This window comes from Homo sapiens, chromosome 2, assembly GCF_000001405.40.
Source record: "Homo sapiens chromosome 2, GRCh38.p14 Primary Assembly".
In the NCBI taxonomy this organism is placed as follows: Eukaryota; Metazoa; Chordata; class Mammalia; order Primates; family Hominidae; genus Homo; species Homo sapiens.
In genome coordinates this window covers 171,796,693-171,812,189 of record NC_000002.12, presented here as the reverse complement: position 1 = coordinate 171,812,189, position 15,497 = coordinate 171,796,693, and the positions used below count along the sequence as shown (strand labels likewise).

At 37.5% G+C, this 15,497-nt stretch overlaps 1 protein-coding gene across 3 annotated transcripts in view, besides 1 other annotated feature; it reads left to right on the top strand.

The window, feature by feature from the left end:
• The window catches only part of SLC25A12 (solute carrier family 25 member 12), a 110,840-nt gene that overhangs the window by 82,055 nt on the left and 13,288 nt on the right, over positions 1–15,497 (top strand). For all 3 annotated transcript variants that reach the window (NR_047549.2, NM_003705.5, XM_047446142.1), the window contains 2 exons: positions 1,914–1,966; positions 2,504–2,584. Coding sequence is in view for 2 of the 3 variants with exons in the window: in NM_003705.5 (NP_003696.2) it covers positions 1,914–1,966; positions 2,504–2,584 (134 nt within the window). In the remaining variant the exon portion in view is untranslated. The remainder of the gene's footprint in view (positions 1–1,913; positions 1,967–2,503; positions 2,585–15,497) is intronic.
• Positions 13,501–14,031: an enhancer, noted in NCBI's record as "NANOG hESC enhancer chr2:172654669-172655199 (GRCh37/hg19 assembly coordinates)". NCBI's record gives its function as "activates a minimal SCP1, AML or CMV promoter by ChIP-STARR-seq in primed H9 embryonic stem cells {active_cell/tissue: H9 hESC(primed)}" and the evidence as "EXISTENCE:reporter gene assay evidence [ECO:0000049][PMID:30033119]".

Genomic DNA, 15,497 nt, shown 5'->3' with positions numbered 1-15,497 from the left:
TAATAGGAGAGAGTTATTCCGAAATCAAACTAGGCTCAAGTACCCTGCTCTTGAGAATGAATGTGATGAGTTTTCCTCAAATATTCAGAACTGTAGTCTCTTTGAATTCCACCTGTACAGCATGTACCCTGTGGAAAGGCGTACAATATCCAGAATGCAGACCTTTCCATGTGAATGCTTGTTTTAACTGATTAAACCCTGCATATCCAGATTTTATTTAATGGGGAATCAAGGTTGAGTGGCATTAAGGTTGTTTTTTTCCTTGATATCTCCAATATTTCTTTGTTGAATAATGACCTTTCTCCTCTTTGGTATACTTTTAAATTGCAAAGAAAATGTCCCCTATTAAAAGGAACCTAGATATTTACTGCATAGTTTAGCCTTCTCAATGGATAGATGCTTACAGAAGATTTCATTTGAGAGAGATGTCATGTTTATTAAATGGATGCAATATAGCAAGTAGGGGAGGGGATTGTTGGTTTTATTCAGGATGTAAGCTCATAAAAGCAGTTCTTTAAATGAGAGACTTTTGTATTAGGGAGAAGATTGTAGGAGTCCTGTATGTGAGCACTATGATTATTGAGATTGTCATATATTGCTTGCAACTGGTCCATTATTCTGTCAGATGATTGACAAAATTGTTGACAGATTAGCTAAATTTCTTCGCAGGCAACAATGATAAAATGACACAAATCAGTACTTTATTAAATTCCATGAGCCTTATTGAGGCGAGTTGTAAAACAAATATGCATGCTGACATGGTTGTATGGGAGTTAGATTAAAAGTAATAGAGCCTGATAATCACGAGGGTTAGAAAGTTAATACTGCCATCTGCTGATTTGTTCTTTTAAATCAGTCTGCTACGCATGAAAGGTGTGTGAGGCTTTGTGTGTATCATTGATAATTCAGCCTGACTGACAGTAGCCTATATGTATGATTACTTGTGGCTCTCAACTTATGGAACTCAGCAGTATCCTCAAAGCAGGCTTAAGATCAGCAGTCAGCAAGCAGGCAAACACATATATAACTCCCCTTTGGCTGGATGATTTAAAGGATATAAAATGTTTATTGTTAGCATCTTTAAAAAATGTATGCAAAAAAGTATGCTAACAATTTGGATAAGCTGTGTGCTTTAGAAAGCTGAGCCCAACAGATGTTGAATTGTTTATTTTTTTCTTTTCCAGTTTACAACCAGCCTGGGGAATTTAACTTTCTAAGGATTATGATTTCCTTTGTTTTGAGGGGATTCTTTTAAAATGTCTTAAGCTTGACATATATTAGTCAATAAGAATACAACAGGCATATGTTTTTGCTTATAGGAGATACTCGTTAAACAATACTTAAAACTGCATTTTTCTTTGCAGTTTTGGCTTCCTTTTAAATAAATGAATATTGAATGCTGTGTTTCTCTGAAGAGAAGATTATGGGAGTTAGTATTCTATAATAACGAAGCCACTGTATGCCATTATGTAGGTAGCAAAATCTGGGTATGCTTAACAGCATGCTTTTCAGAGCTTTTCCAAGTGTACAGTATCTGTGTATGTTTATATGTTGTTGGTTGTAATAAGGGAGGGAATTTGGTTACATTGTTATTGGCAGTGTTCCCAGAATAGAGAAGACGCATGGCTCCGTTTCTTCTTCATGGACTTTTTGGGAAGTGTTGGATAACTAGGCTTTAAAGTAAGCATGCTTAAGAAGAGGATTTATAGCCTCAAGAAAACGTGACATTATACTGCATTTGTAAATAATTATTACATATGTATACAGAGTTTTAAGGATAATCTTTTTCCCATTTTAATGAAAACTCTGCAATGTTTGATGGGTAAATAATATGGGGGAAACTCTTTGTTGCTGGGCTTGTGTATTCATGTCTGGTACAGCTATATTGCTGATGATTCTGTCCCTTTACCTAGGTCTGATACCACAACTTATAGGGGTTGCTCCAGAAAAGGCCATTAAACTGACTGTAAGTTTATCTCTAACTGAATTTATGTCATTTGTTTAGATTACCATTAAGCCAAAAAGCTAAAATCAAGGCTAGGCGTGGTAGCTCATGCCTATAATCTCAGCATTTTGGGTGGTGGGAGGATCACTTGAGACCAGTTCTAAACCAGCATAAGCATAGTAAGAACTCAGCTCTACCAAAACAACAACAACAACAACAAAATTAAAAATTAGCCAAGTGTGGTGATTTATGCCAGGAGGCTGATGTGGGAGGATTGCTTGAGTCCAGGAATTTGAGGCTGTAGTGAGCTATGATCATGCCACTGCACTCCAGCCTGAGCAACAGAGTGAGACCCTGTCTCAAAAACAAAACTAAAATTGATGCTGCTGACACTGGCACACTGTCGCAGAATTTGTACAACTTTAATTTTACATGTAAGCATTTGATAATTTTAAATTTTATCATAAGACAAATATTTTGCTGACTTGGAAAAGCAACAGTATGCCAGAAGAGAAATGGTTGGGAATTTTGGTTAACTGATGTTGTCTTTCTAATTAGGTTAATGATTTTGTTCGGGACAAATTTACCAGAAGAGATGGCTCTGTTCCACTTCCAGCAGAAGTTCTTGCTGGAGGCTGTGTAAGTATTACTGTTAGGCGCTTCTTGTGACAAATACATTCCGTTGACCTTTTTGCACAGATATAATAGATATCTTAGTGGCATTTCTCTTGAACTCAAGGGATTCTAAGCAGGTTTTCTCAATAATCATATGGAATAAGTTTTAAATTTTATTGTAAAAGCTAACGGGTTTTGAGTGTAGAAAAGAGGTAGCATTTTCCGCCAGTTAGAATGGTGATCATTAAAAAGTCAGGAAACAACAGATGCTGGAGAGGATGTGGAGAAATAGGAACCATTTTACACTGTTGGTGGGAGTGTGAATTAGTTCAACCATTGTGGAAGACAGTGTGGCAATTCCTCAAGGATCTAGAACTAGAAATACCATTTGACCCAGCAATCCCATTACTGAGTATATACCCAAAGGATTATAAATCATTCTACTATAAAGACACATGCACACATATGTTTATTGTGGCACTATTCACAATAGCAAAGACTTGGAACCAACCCAAATGCCCATCAGTGACAGACTGGATTAAGAAAATTTGGCACATATACACCATGGAATAATATGCAGCCATAAAAAAGGATGAGTTCCTGTCCTTTGCAGGGACATGGATGAAGCTGCAAACCATCATTCTCAGCAAACTGTCACAAGGACAGAAAACCAAACACCACATGTTCTCACTCATAGGTGGGAATTGAACAATGAGAACACCTGGACACAGGGCAGGGAGCATCACACACTGGGGCCTGTCATGGGGTTGGGGGTTGGGGGTTGGGGGAGAGATAGCAGTAGGAGAAATACCTAATGTAAATGATGAGTTGATGGGTGCAGCAAACCAACATGGCACATGTATACCTATGTATCAAACCTGCACATTGTGCACATGTACCCTAAAACTTAAAGTATAATAACAAAAAAAGAGGTGGCATTTTCATCAGCTCTATCTCTTTGATGCTCCTAAAGCATTACCTTCCAGACTTTTTTAAAAGTTCTAATTCCTATGCCTTTTAAGAAATAGAGTACAGAAAATATAGTAGTGGATAGAGTTACCATTCATATATGTTAACTGGAACTTTAAAACAAGTGTGAGATGGCTGATTAATTGGGCCCTTATATCTTAGGTATAGGACTGAGTAAGCCATTGTTTAATAATAATTTTTCTTCTTTAGAGGCCAGAGGGTATGGCAAACAATAATAACGGTAACTACATTTCAGCTATTGACAGAAATTCTGAACCAAGAGACTCAGATATTTACTTAGCGCACAAAGGTTTCTGTCTTTAAAGTGTAAGCATGACATGATTATTGGCAAACAATAATAACGGTAACTACATTTCAGCTATTGACAGAAATTCTGAACCAAGAGACTCAGATATTTACTTAGCGCACAAAGGTTTCTGTCTTTAAAGTGTAAGCATGACCAATTCTTAAATCTATTTGCAGCTCAACTAATTTCATTTGTGGTATTTGTTTCATATTTGATAACACATGGTTCGTTTCAGACTTGTTTAGTCCATTTTGTTCTTGGAAACATTAATAACTTCCAGTTGAATTGGCTGACAGTCTTGGCTAAAACTTCCTCAGTTGCTTGTGAAACCTGAAGTGATGAGGTCAGTGACCTTGGCAACATTTAATTCAGAGACACTGCCTCGGGGGTCAGAGAGAGAGAGAGGTTGCTCCAGATTCTCTTTGATATGTGTCAGTGTGGCACATACCTGAGTCCTCTGCAGAGTTGCTTTGGAAGAGGTGGACTGCTGTGTGGGTGTGTGTGTGCCTGTATGCATGCCCCAGCACATTCTCAGGAAGGAAATCTCTTTGGCTACATTTCTTTTTTAATGAAGAGTTAACAGTGGACATAGAATAAAACTTTTGCTTAGGTGGATCACCAAAAATGAAGTTTCTCTTCTTCCTTTATTCCAATTAGATTCTGTAATTGGTTCTTATCTAGAGAGCGAACCTTTGCCAATCATAAATATTCTTTTTCTTGGTCATTTTAAGTTTCTGTTTGGTTAAGAAGCTTTCTAACTCATTTTTATCACAGCACATGCATACCTTTGCCAGAAATATAAGTCATGCTCTTTCTGTTCCATGTAGCTAATTATTTGTTTCCGTTTGCAATATCCAGGTTTTTGGTCATGAAGCTGACCTGTTTCCATGTCTGACATGTGACCTAAGTGGTTAAACCAAAATAAGATGTTTAGTTCCTTTGTTCTTCCTAGCTACCGACCCTGTTTATAGGTTTGAACTTTAGGAATTTCTATTGAAGTCTGGGTTGCCTTGAGGGTTGTGCTGACACTCTAAATCTCTTCCTTAATCATGACTCATTTCTGGAGGCTTTGATGGATTGTCTAGTGGGAAATTGACAGCATGAAAAATAGTCAGGTTGGACTCTAGGCAGAATGATAAGGTTGTCTGCAGTTCTTCACCACAAACGTTTTCTGCTTCCCCCTTGCTCTAAATCTCTTCTTTCAGGGAAGAAGAAAAAAGTGCAATTATTGAGTTTCTACTGACAAATTCAGTTATGCTATGCTATAAATGATTGTTAAAACATAATTCACTGTTTCTCCCCAAAGTCTATAAATTTCAACAGAGAATAAAGTCTTAAAAAGAATGAGTCTCTCTTTATAGAATATCAGGCTGTATGGGACATAGGATACTCCATTTCCTAAATGATACCTGGCAAACAGCCACCAGATTAACACTGTGAAGAGTGGCTGTCTGTGAGCCTGACCCTGAGTCTTCATCATCCTGAGTAGTGGTGGTGATACGATGTACGGTGTCCTTATGGCTTTTGGCTGAGTGCTGTCAGTGCCACTAGTGAGAAGAATGCTGCTGTTCTTCCAAAAATTACCCAATTTTAAAGATGCACCTAATACATTAACCTATTGCAGGTTAATTAGGAAGAAATGGCTCAAATTGAGTTCTAGGCTTTTTTTCCCAGAGGAAGGATTAGCTAGGACCTAGGCCTTGAGTTCCCTATAGATGAGAGGGAAATTTTATTGCCATGGAAATGACAATATTCCCTTTTAGGAAAAATGGTGTGTGTTGACTAGATCATGAAGTGACCTAGAAGTGAAAATCTCTAGTCCTTGGGCATTATATATTTTGTTGTTGTTGTATGTTTTGTTTTATTATCTGGTTTGTTTTTGTTTTCGTTTTTGTTTTGAGATGGAGTTTTGCTCTTGTTATCCAGGCTGGAATGCAATGGCACGATCTCGGCCCACCGCAGCCTCCACCTCCCAGGTTAATGCGATTCTCCTGCCTCAGCCTCCCTAGTAGCTGAGATTACAGGCATGTGCCACTGCACCCGGCTAATTTTGTATTTTTAGTAGAGCTGGGGTTTCTCCATGTTAGGCTGGTCTCAAACTCCCGACCTCAGGTGATCCACCGGCCTCGGCCTCCCAAAGTGCTGGGATTACGGGCGTGAGCCACCACACCCGGTCTTTATGATCTGTTTTTAAAGGCATGTGATTTTTGTTTTTTTGTTTGTTTGTTTTTCTTCTTTTTTGAGACAGGATCTCAGTCTGTTGCCCAGGCTGGAGTGGCGTGGTGCGATCTCAGCTCACTGCAGCCTTGACAACTCCTGGGCTCAAGGGCTCCTCCCATCTCTCAGCCTCCCCAGTAGCTGGGACTACAGGTGCATGCCACCATCCTCTGCTAATTTTTGTATTTTTTGTAGAGATGGGGTTTCATCATGTTGCCCAGGCTGGTCTCGAATTCCTGGGCTCAAGCAACCCACCTGCCTTGGCCTCCTAGTTTTGGGATTACAGGTGTGAGTCACCAGGCTGGCCAAGGCCTGTGATTTTTGATACATGCAAAAGAATACAAACAATATAATTACAGAATAATAAAATGAGCATCCATGCTTCTAGCACCCAACTTAACTAAAACGTTACTACTATTGTTGATGATGATTATTGCTTTTGATGTAGCTTGAATCAGCTAATGAGGAATAGATACCTTTCTTACTGGGCTGAACATTTTATAGGGATTATCTCATTATTGTTCCCAACTAGAGTTGAAAAAACTAAAACCTTAGTGAAATCCAAATTTTGACTTAGTAAATATCAAAATTGTGGTTCAAACCACTTCTATCTCCAAATCCATATTCTTTCACACTTGATATAGGTTTTCATTTGTTCTTTCATATATTCACTTACTCATTGAATACCTGATATCTTTCATGCAAATTTTAAAAATACCACCTTTAGGCCGGGGGCGGTGGCTCACGCCTGTAATCCCAGTACTTTGGGAGGCCGAAGCAAGTGGATCACCTGAGGTCAGGAGTTCGAGACCAGCCTGGCCAACATAGTGAAACCCCGTCTCTACTGAAAATACAAAAAAATTAGCCAGGTGAAGTGGCGCGTTCCTACAGTCCCAGCTACTTGGGAGGCTGAGGTAGGAGAATCGCTTGAACCCAGGAGGTGGAGGTTGCAGTGAGCTGTGATCGTGCCACTGCACTCCAGCTTGGGCAACAGAGTGAGACTCTGTCTCAAAAAAAAAAAACAAAAAACAAAACAAAACAAAAAAACAGAAAAAATAACAGCTTTATTGAGATATACTTAACGTACCATACAACTCCCCCATTTAATGTGTATAATTCAGTGTTTTGTTGTGAAACCATCACCACAATCAATTTTAGAACATTTTTATCAACACAGAAAGAAATGCAGTACCTTTTAGCTATCACTTCTCAATCTTCCCATCCCATCCGTAAGATCTAGGCAACTGTATTGCCCAGGCAGGAGTGCAGTGGTGCGATCAAGGCTCACAGCAACCTTGAACTGCCGGCTCAGGCAATCCTCCCACCTCAGCTTCATGAGTAGCTAGGACTGCAGGTGTGTGCCACCACCCTCAGCTAATTTTTAAGTTTTTCATAGAGACAGGGTCTTACTTGGCCAGGCTGGCCTTGAGCTCCTGGCCTCAAGCAATCCTTCTGCCTCCTCCTCCCAAAGTACTAGAGTTACAGATACGAGCCACTGCACTTGGCCTCTAGGCAACTATTAATATACTTTCTGTTTTTACAAATTCACCAATTCTGAATATTTTATATAAATGGAGGCTGGGCGTGGTGGCTCATGCTTATAATTCCAGCACTTTGGGAGGCTGAGGTGTGTGGATCACTTGAGGTCAGGAGTTTGAGACCAGCCTGGCCAACATGGTGTGAAACCCCATCTTTATAAAAAATGCAAAAATTAGCCAGGCGTGGTGGCAGGTGCTTTTAATCCTGGCTACTTGGGAGGCTGAGGCAGGAGAATCACTTGAGCCTGGGAGGCGGAGGTTGCAATGAGCAGAGATTGTGCCCACTGCACTCCAGCCTGGGCAACAGAGAGAGACTCTGTCTCAAAATAAATAAATAAATAAATAAGGAATCATGATATGTGGCCTTTTGTAAGCATGACATTGTGCCTAACTTTTTTCACTTAGCGTGTTTTCAAGGTTCATCTGTGTTGTAGCATGTATCAGTACTTAATTCATTTTTATTGCTGAATATATGGATATACTACAGTTTGTTCATTCATTAGTTGATAAACATTTGAGTTGTTTCTACCTTTTGACTTATGAATAATGCTGCTATGAATATTGGTATATAAGGTTTTGCATGGACATGTTTTCATTTCTCTTGGGTATATACGTATGAGTGGAATTGGTGTGTCATATGACAACTGTAATTAGCATTTTCAGGACTGCCAGACTGTTTTTCAAAGTGGCTACATCCTTTTGCATCCCTACTAGTAGTGTGAAGCTTCTGATTTCTCTACATCTTTGCTAGTATGTGTGTGCGCGCGTGTGTGTGTGTGTGTGTGTGTATTTTTTTAAATAATGGTAGCGTCTCACTATGTTGCCCAAGCTGAGAGTGCAGTGACTGTTCACAGGTGTGAACATCACATGCTACAGCCTCGAACTCCTGGCCTCAAGTGATCTTCCTGCCCCATCCTCCTGAGTAGCTGGGACTACAGGCATGTGCCATCATGCACAGCTACTTTCCACATCTTTGATAACACTTCTTATTGTCTTTTTACTATAGCCATCTTACTGAGTGAAAAGTGATACCTTATTGTGGCCTAATGACTGACAATGTTGAGCATCTTTTTGTGTGCATATTGACCACTTGTATATCTTCTTTGAAAAAATGTCTATTCAGAATTTTTGCCTATTTTTAAATTGGATTGTTTTTTGGTTACAGAGTTCTTTGTATATTCTAGATATGAGTCCCTTTTCAGATATTTTTTATTTTCTTGATGATGTCTTTTGAAGAATTGGGCTTTAATGAAGTTCGTTTAATCTATTTTTTCTTTTGTTGTTTGTGCTTTTGGTGTTATATCTAAGAAGTCATTAATCCAAGATCATGAAAGATGTATGCCTTTTTTTTCTGGTATATAGAAATTGACTTTATATGTATGCCTCCTTTTTTCTTTTCAGAGTTTTATAGTTTTAGCTTTTACATCTAGGTCTTTTCCGATTTTTAAGCCTAAGTTTTTTAGGTTTTTTTTTTTTGCCTTGAACAGAGAGAGATATTACTAAATGTCAGTTTTGTTTTAGTTTTGATTGCTAATGTTTTGGTGTATTTCCTTCTAATGTTTTCATATACATGTGTACATGCTCTTATGCATAGACATATGTGTGCACATGTGTACACACACACACACACACACTTTTTAAAACCAGATGGAAGTTTTGTTGACTCTGACTTCCTGATTGGAAATGCAAGCAACTCTCACTTACTACAGGAAAGAGGGAGTCACAGTGGAATGTCTTATTTTAGAAGTAGTATATAACCTTTGGGAATAGTAGTATAAACAGATTGTGCATTTTCAGATTTTTATTTTTATTTTTATTTTTTCGAGACAGAGTCTCGCACTGTCGCCCAGGCTGGAGTGCAGTAGCGTGATCTTGGCTCACTGCAAGCTCCGCTTCCCGGGTTCACGCCATTCTCCTGCCTCAGCCTCCCGAGTAGTTGGGACTACAGGCACCCGCCACCAGGCCTGGCTAATTTTTTGTATTTTTAGTAGAGACGGGGTTTCACCGTGTTAGCCAGGATGGTCTCGATCTTCTGACCTCGTGATCCACCCACTTCAGCCTCCCAAAGTGCTGGGATTACAGGTGTGAGCCACAGTGCCTGGCCCATTTTCAGATTTTTAAATCTCATTGTGAACATTAACCAAACTTGTGTTTTGTATCTATATCAAAATCTTCTCAAACAAACTTACTCATTCAGAATTTATGATAACTTGGATGTGCTATCCCAACATGTTTTTTGTTTATTTGTTTGTAGTATCTATAAATTGAACTCTAGGTTAAATTGCCTGACCTTGGCTAGGTGTGGTGGCTCATGACTGTAACCTCCACACTTTGGAAGGCTGAGGTGGGAAGATGGCTTGAGCCTAGGAGTTCAAGGCCAGCTTGTGCAACATAGTGGGACCCCCCATCTCTACAAATAATAATAATTTTTTAAAATTGCTTGACCCTTTTTTAGGTGGAGATGGGGTAAGATTGTATGTGTGTGTATACAGTTGCTCAGTAAATATCTCTTATGAATGTTGAGTGTTGTATGAGTATTAAATATGTAACAGTAGGTTTTAAATAATTTTTCCTGTTATTCTCATAGGTAAACCATTCTTATCAGACCATATGTTTATTTTTCTATTAGAAAATTTCTGTCTTTCTGTACACACACACACACACACACACACACACACACACACACACACAGATCCAGATATTCCTCGACTTCCAATGAGGTTACATTGTAATAAACCTATCATGAGTTGGAAATTTTTAGGTCAACAGTGCACTTAATACACCTAACCTTCTGAATGTCATAGCTTAGCCTATCCTACCTAAAACATGCTCAGAACACTTATGTTAGCCTATAATTGGGCAAAATCATAAAACACAAAGCCTGTTTTATAATACAGTATTGGATATCTCATGTAATTTATTGAATACTGTACTGAAAGTGAAAAACAGGCTGTATGAGTACTTGAAGTATTGTTTCTACTGAATGCATATTGCTTTTGCACCATTGTAAAGTCAAAAAACCATAAGTTGTATCATTGTTAAGTTGGGGACCACCTGTATATATGTGTTTATATATAATATTTATATGTACAAATGTATGTTTATTCGAAGACACAAATATAATTGAATGTTTGATTATGATATCTATTGTGGGCAAAAATAGTACCTTAATGTCAACCTAGAATTTTCAAAGTACATTATTATGCATTATTGTCACCCTCTATAAAATAGGTAGATGAGAAACAGAAGTCCAAAAAGGCTAACTCTCTTACCCCAATTTACACAGCTAATATATGCTGGAGGTTTCATGTGAACCCAAGTATTCTGATTTTTTTAGACCAAGTCCTTTTATTCTATGATGTCCTTTTGGGGGAATCAAATCATTGATTGTGTCAAAATAAATCTAGATGACACTATTCAACTTTATAGTGACTTTCTTGCCTCTTTCCTTCCTTCCTTTAATAAGTGTATGAATATGACATATTTACATATTTGGTTTTTTAGGTATAATTAACATTTTTAAAAGGAACAGATTTTAGATATTCAGCTCAATGAGTTTTGACAGTTGTATACACCCATGTAATCACCACCTAAGATAATGAACATTTCACCCCAGAAAAGTCGTTCATGCGTCTTTCCATTCAGTCCCTTCTCCCTTACCCCATGCAACCACACTTCTGATTTCTGTCTGAAGTTTTGTTGTTCTTGGATTTCATGTAAATGGAGTGCACGAGATGCATTCTTTCATGGCTGGCTTCTTTTGTTTAACATGTTTTCAGAGAGTCATCCTTGTGTGGGTATCAGGTTTGTGTTTGTTTTAAATTTTGCTGAGTAGTATTTCATCGTACGAATTTACCACAATTTGTTTATCCATTTTTCTCTTGATGGATGTTTGGGTTTTTGTCTGTTACAAATAAGGTTGCTGTAAACATTCTTGTACAAATCTTTTTGTCAACCAATATTTTCATTTTTCTTGGGTATCTAAGAATAGAATAGAGTCGATGTATATTCAATTTAAAATAAACTGCCAGTTAGTTCTTAGAAGTGGATGGATCATTTTATAGTCTCCTAAGCAGTGTACAAGTATTCCAGTTGTTCCACATCTTCACTAATGTTTGATATCTGTAGTGTTTTTGATAGTAATCATTGTAGGTATGTGAAATAGTATCTTATTGTGGTTTAAATTTGCATTCTTCTGATTCCTAAAGATGTTGATTATCTTTTCATGTGTTTATTGGCTATTCGTATATGTGTGTGTGTGTGTGTGTGTGTGTGAAGTATCTGTTCAAGTCTTTTGCGTACATTTTATTAGGTTTCATATTTTTTACTAATTGTAAAAGTTGTTTATACATCATGGATACAGCCCTTTGTCAAACAGATGTGTTGTGGATATTTTTTTGCCAGTTTGTGACTTGTTTATTACTTTTATTAATGATGTTTATAGTAGTTTTTAAAGAAAAAGTAATTATGTAGTTTTTTGGATAGATCCAGAAACTTAAGGGAGAATAAATTTAAATATCTTTTCAAATTAACAAAGCAGAATATTAAAAAATCTAAATGGACTAACCTTTAGGTACTTTCTAATGGTCTCTTTGGTAAGTACCTGTTCTTTTTTAATTGTTAAACTCGAATCAGAGATTAGTGATAAACTTACCTAGCTGACTGCATTACCTCTTTCAGAGAGTATATACTCCTGAGTGGATGGAAGTCATGAAACTCAAAACTTATTACTCAGCAAAGTGCTAATGTTGCAGGTGAATTTTCACAACCCTATGCGAACACACTTTCTGGAGAACACGTTCTTTCCCTTTGTGTCTTGCTTTCAGTCTGCATAGTGCTCTCAAATGAGTTAGTAGTGCACAAGACCTCGGTGAGGCAGAGAGCATGGTTGTGGGAATGGAATGGTTATGCCGAATGCAAAATCTATGACGATCTAGGTCAGTAGTCTTCCAAACCTAGAATCTTTCAACTCTCCCATGCTTTTTCTCAGCTTAAGCATGTGTCTACACACACCACATACACACACCCTCCCTTCATATCGGTAAAGCAAAAAGCCCACATGTTAGGCGGAGCATTTACTAATCCTGGGGGCCAAGATCTGTAACTAGCCAGCTCCTTATGATGAAGAATTCTATGTCTTCCTCAGCAAGCCAAGCTTGTATATCTCTAAAGAGTAGTTTGGAAACAGCTCTTCCACCTCTCATCCCCAGGAATTAGTGTAGTCCAACTTTATGCCTACATACTTATGTGAACACATATAGATATGCATACAAGTTGAAAATCCTTATATATTTATGTCAAAAGTGGCTTATGATAGGTACACAGGGATTTTCATTCTTGCTGTCTTAGTTCATTTTGGCTGCTATTAAAAAATACCTTCGATGGAGTAATTTATAAACAACAGAAATTTATTGCTCACAATTCTGGAGGCTGGAAGTTCAAGATCAAGGTACCAGCAGATTCAGTGTCTGGTGAGGGAGGGCTTGCTCTCTGCTTCCAAGATGGCACCTTGCTGCTGTGTGCTTGCATGTACCTTGCTGCTGTGTGCTTGCATGTACCTTGCTGCTGTGTGCTTGCATGGTAGGAGAGACAAGGCAGCTCCCTTCAACCTCATTTATAAGGGCACTAATCCCATTCACTAGGGCAGAACCATCATGACTTAATCACCTCCCAAAAGGCCCTACTTCTTAATACTATAATGTTGGATATTAGTTCCAACATATGCATTGTGGGGAAACACCAATATTCGGATCATAGCACTTCCCTTACCCTAGTTAGGAGTATATGTAGTGTTAATTTGTAACACCCTCGCATATATCATCACTCAGCAATGAGCACATTGCATTTATTTCTTTTAAACTATCACTATCCTATTTTAGAAAGAACCATAGCATTTCCTATTGCTTTACAAAAATATGAACGGTTGGTGGTGTGCAAGGCTGAGTCACTGTCTGTTCCTGTTCCTCTTGAGTCAGTCCTAGTGACAGCTAGTTCTGTGACTTTTACTGTTTATCTGGTTATTTTATACGCACATACTGTGTTCATCTGGAGTTGATGTGACCTTAAATAAATTGAAGTTAGATTTTCATCAGTCTCGATAAGGGAAGACTTTATAATGAGTTGCTTAGATTGGATATTTTGTGGTTGGAGGGAAATCATTTCAATCTATAGGAGACAACAGATCAAAGAAGGAAATAAACAAAGGACTTGGCACAAGCAGGGCCCAGCCTCCAACCTCTTTGTGAACCTTGCCCCAGGGGTAGGATTGAGAGGGCAGAAGGTTGAATAGGCCTAATCCTGTATACAGCCCCTCGGCCTTTGGCACTGTGGAGGCATGGTGACATCTCAAAATTACATCCTTTTCCCCGCTAACTTTTGCTGTCAGCTTTAGTTGATTTTCTCATTAAAAAATTCATATGATATAAGATTAAATGGAAGTTTTTTATTCTTTCCATTTCTGTTATATATGGGTAACCCTCATTCAAAATGAGATTTGTTCTCTTTTATGTATCTTTTAAACTCAGTTCTAGAACAAAGAAATGACAACAGAATACTGAAAAATAGAAAGCATCTAAGTCTGTTTTAGTATTAATGTTTGTATCTCTTTTAAAAAATAGGCGGGAAATTTAAGCAATTAGAGAATTAGAAGCTAATTTTGGTGATTTCATGAGTGAAAAAAATTCAGCAAAGGTATGATATAGAGTGGTATGTTATCTAATGTAAGCATTAGTAACAGAAGCAGCAAGATGCCAAATTTAGCAATGTCCATTTACATTTATATAGCTGTGTATCATTGTGATTTAATTTAAAATTTTATATATCTTAGTGTCGATTATTTCAGGTCACTAGCTATATTTGATTAGGTTTTTTGATGTTCATATATAATAAGCTTTTTAAAAAACCTTGGGTCCACAGTAACTAACGCCAACCAGTTTAAAAAATATATTTGCCAAATTACCAAATTTACCATGAAGAAGAATATGCGAGAGAAGACTTAGTCTATAAAGAAGCCATTGTTTCTAAGACCAGGTCTGTTTCTTGTTGTTGTTGCGTAGTTAATACATTCATATGTTTTGAAATTTAAAAGGTACAATAGAGTATGCTATGAAAATTATTTCTCCCAGCTATTCAGTTTCTCTTTCCAGGAGGCAATCAATGTTTTAATCTTTAAGCCACTTGGGTTTTGAGAAACTTAGGTAAATTTTGACATATTTATGATCAAATGTGTGCCTAATATTTTATGTTCTGTTTTTGTCATTTGGCGTGATTTTATTATCAAATCATATTGCCCAATTAATAGCATAGAATTGTATCTACTTAGCTGTTTTATTGGGAATTTGAATTTCTTCCTGTTCAATTTTGCTGCTATTAAAAATAGCAAACATTAGCATATTTGTAGAAATACAGGTACTATTTTTTATTGAAAAGTTACTGTATTTATGAAATTCTCTATATTAAAGATTATATTTACTGCAAGCAGTGCTTTTCCCCTTTGGAAAGCTGTTATTAATGATATCATTTATAATCAATAGAGTCTTAGAAGAAATATGGTATTTCTCTGTATTTGTTTCGCAGAGAGGAAACACCCAGTTCAAGAGTTTGATAACATCATAGTCCCTCATTCTGAGTTGCTTGATTTATTACCAGTATAATTGAACTAATCTCAGATTTTACTCCCCCTTCCCTATCCCCAGTTTAATATGTAGGATAGAGAGAGTGGTCAACCTCAGAATCCGAAAAAGAACAGTGCATATTTGCCATGTGTGTTTCCCTTTAAGCATTATAAACATCCAGAGTTTTAGACAAATTATTACGTTGGTACAAAAGTAACTGCGGTTTTTGCAGTCTTTATCTTTGCTAAAATTATTCAGCGTTTCTGGAAAGTATTTGCCTTATGTTCCTAGGC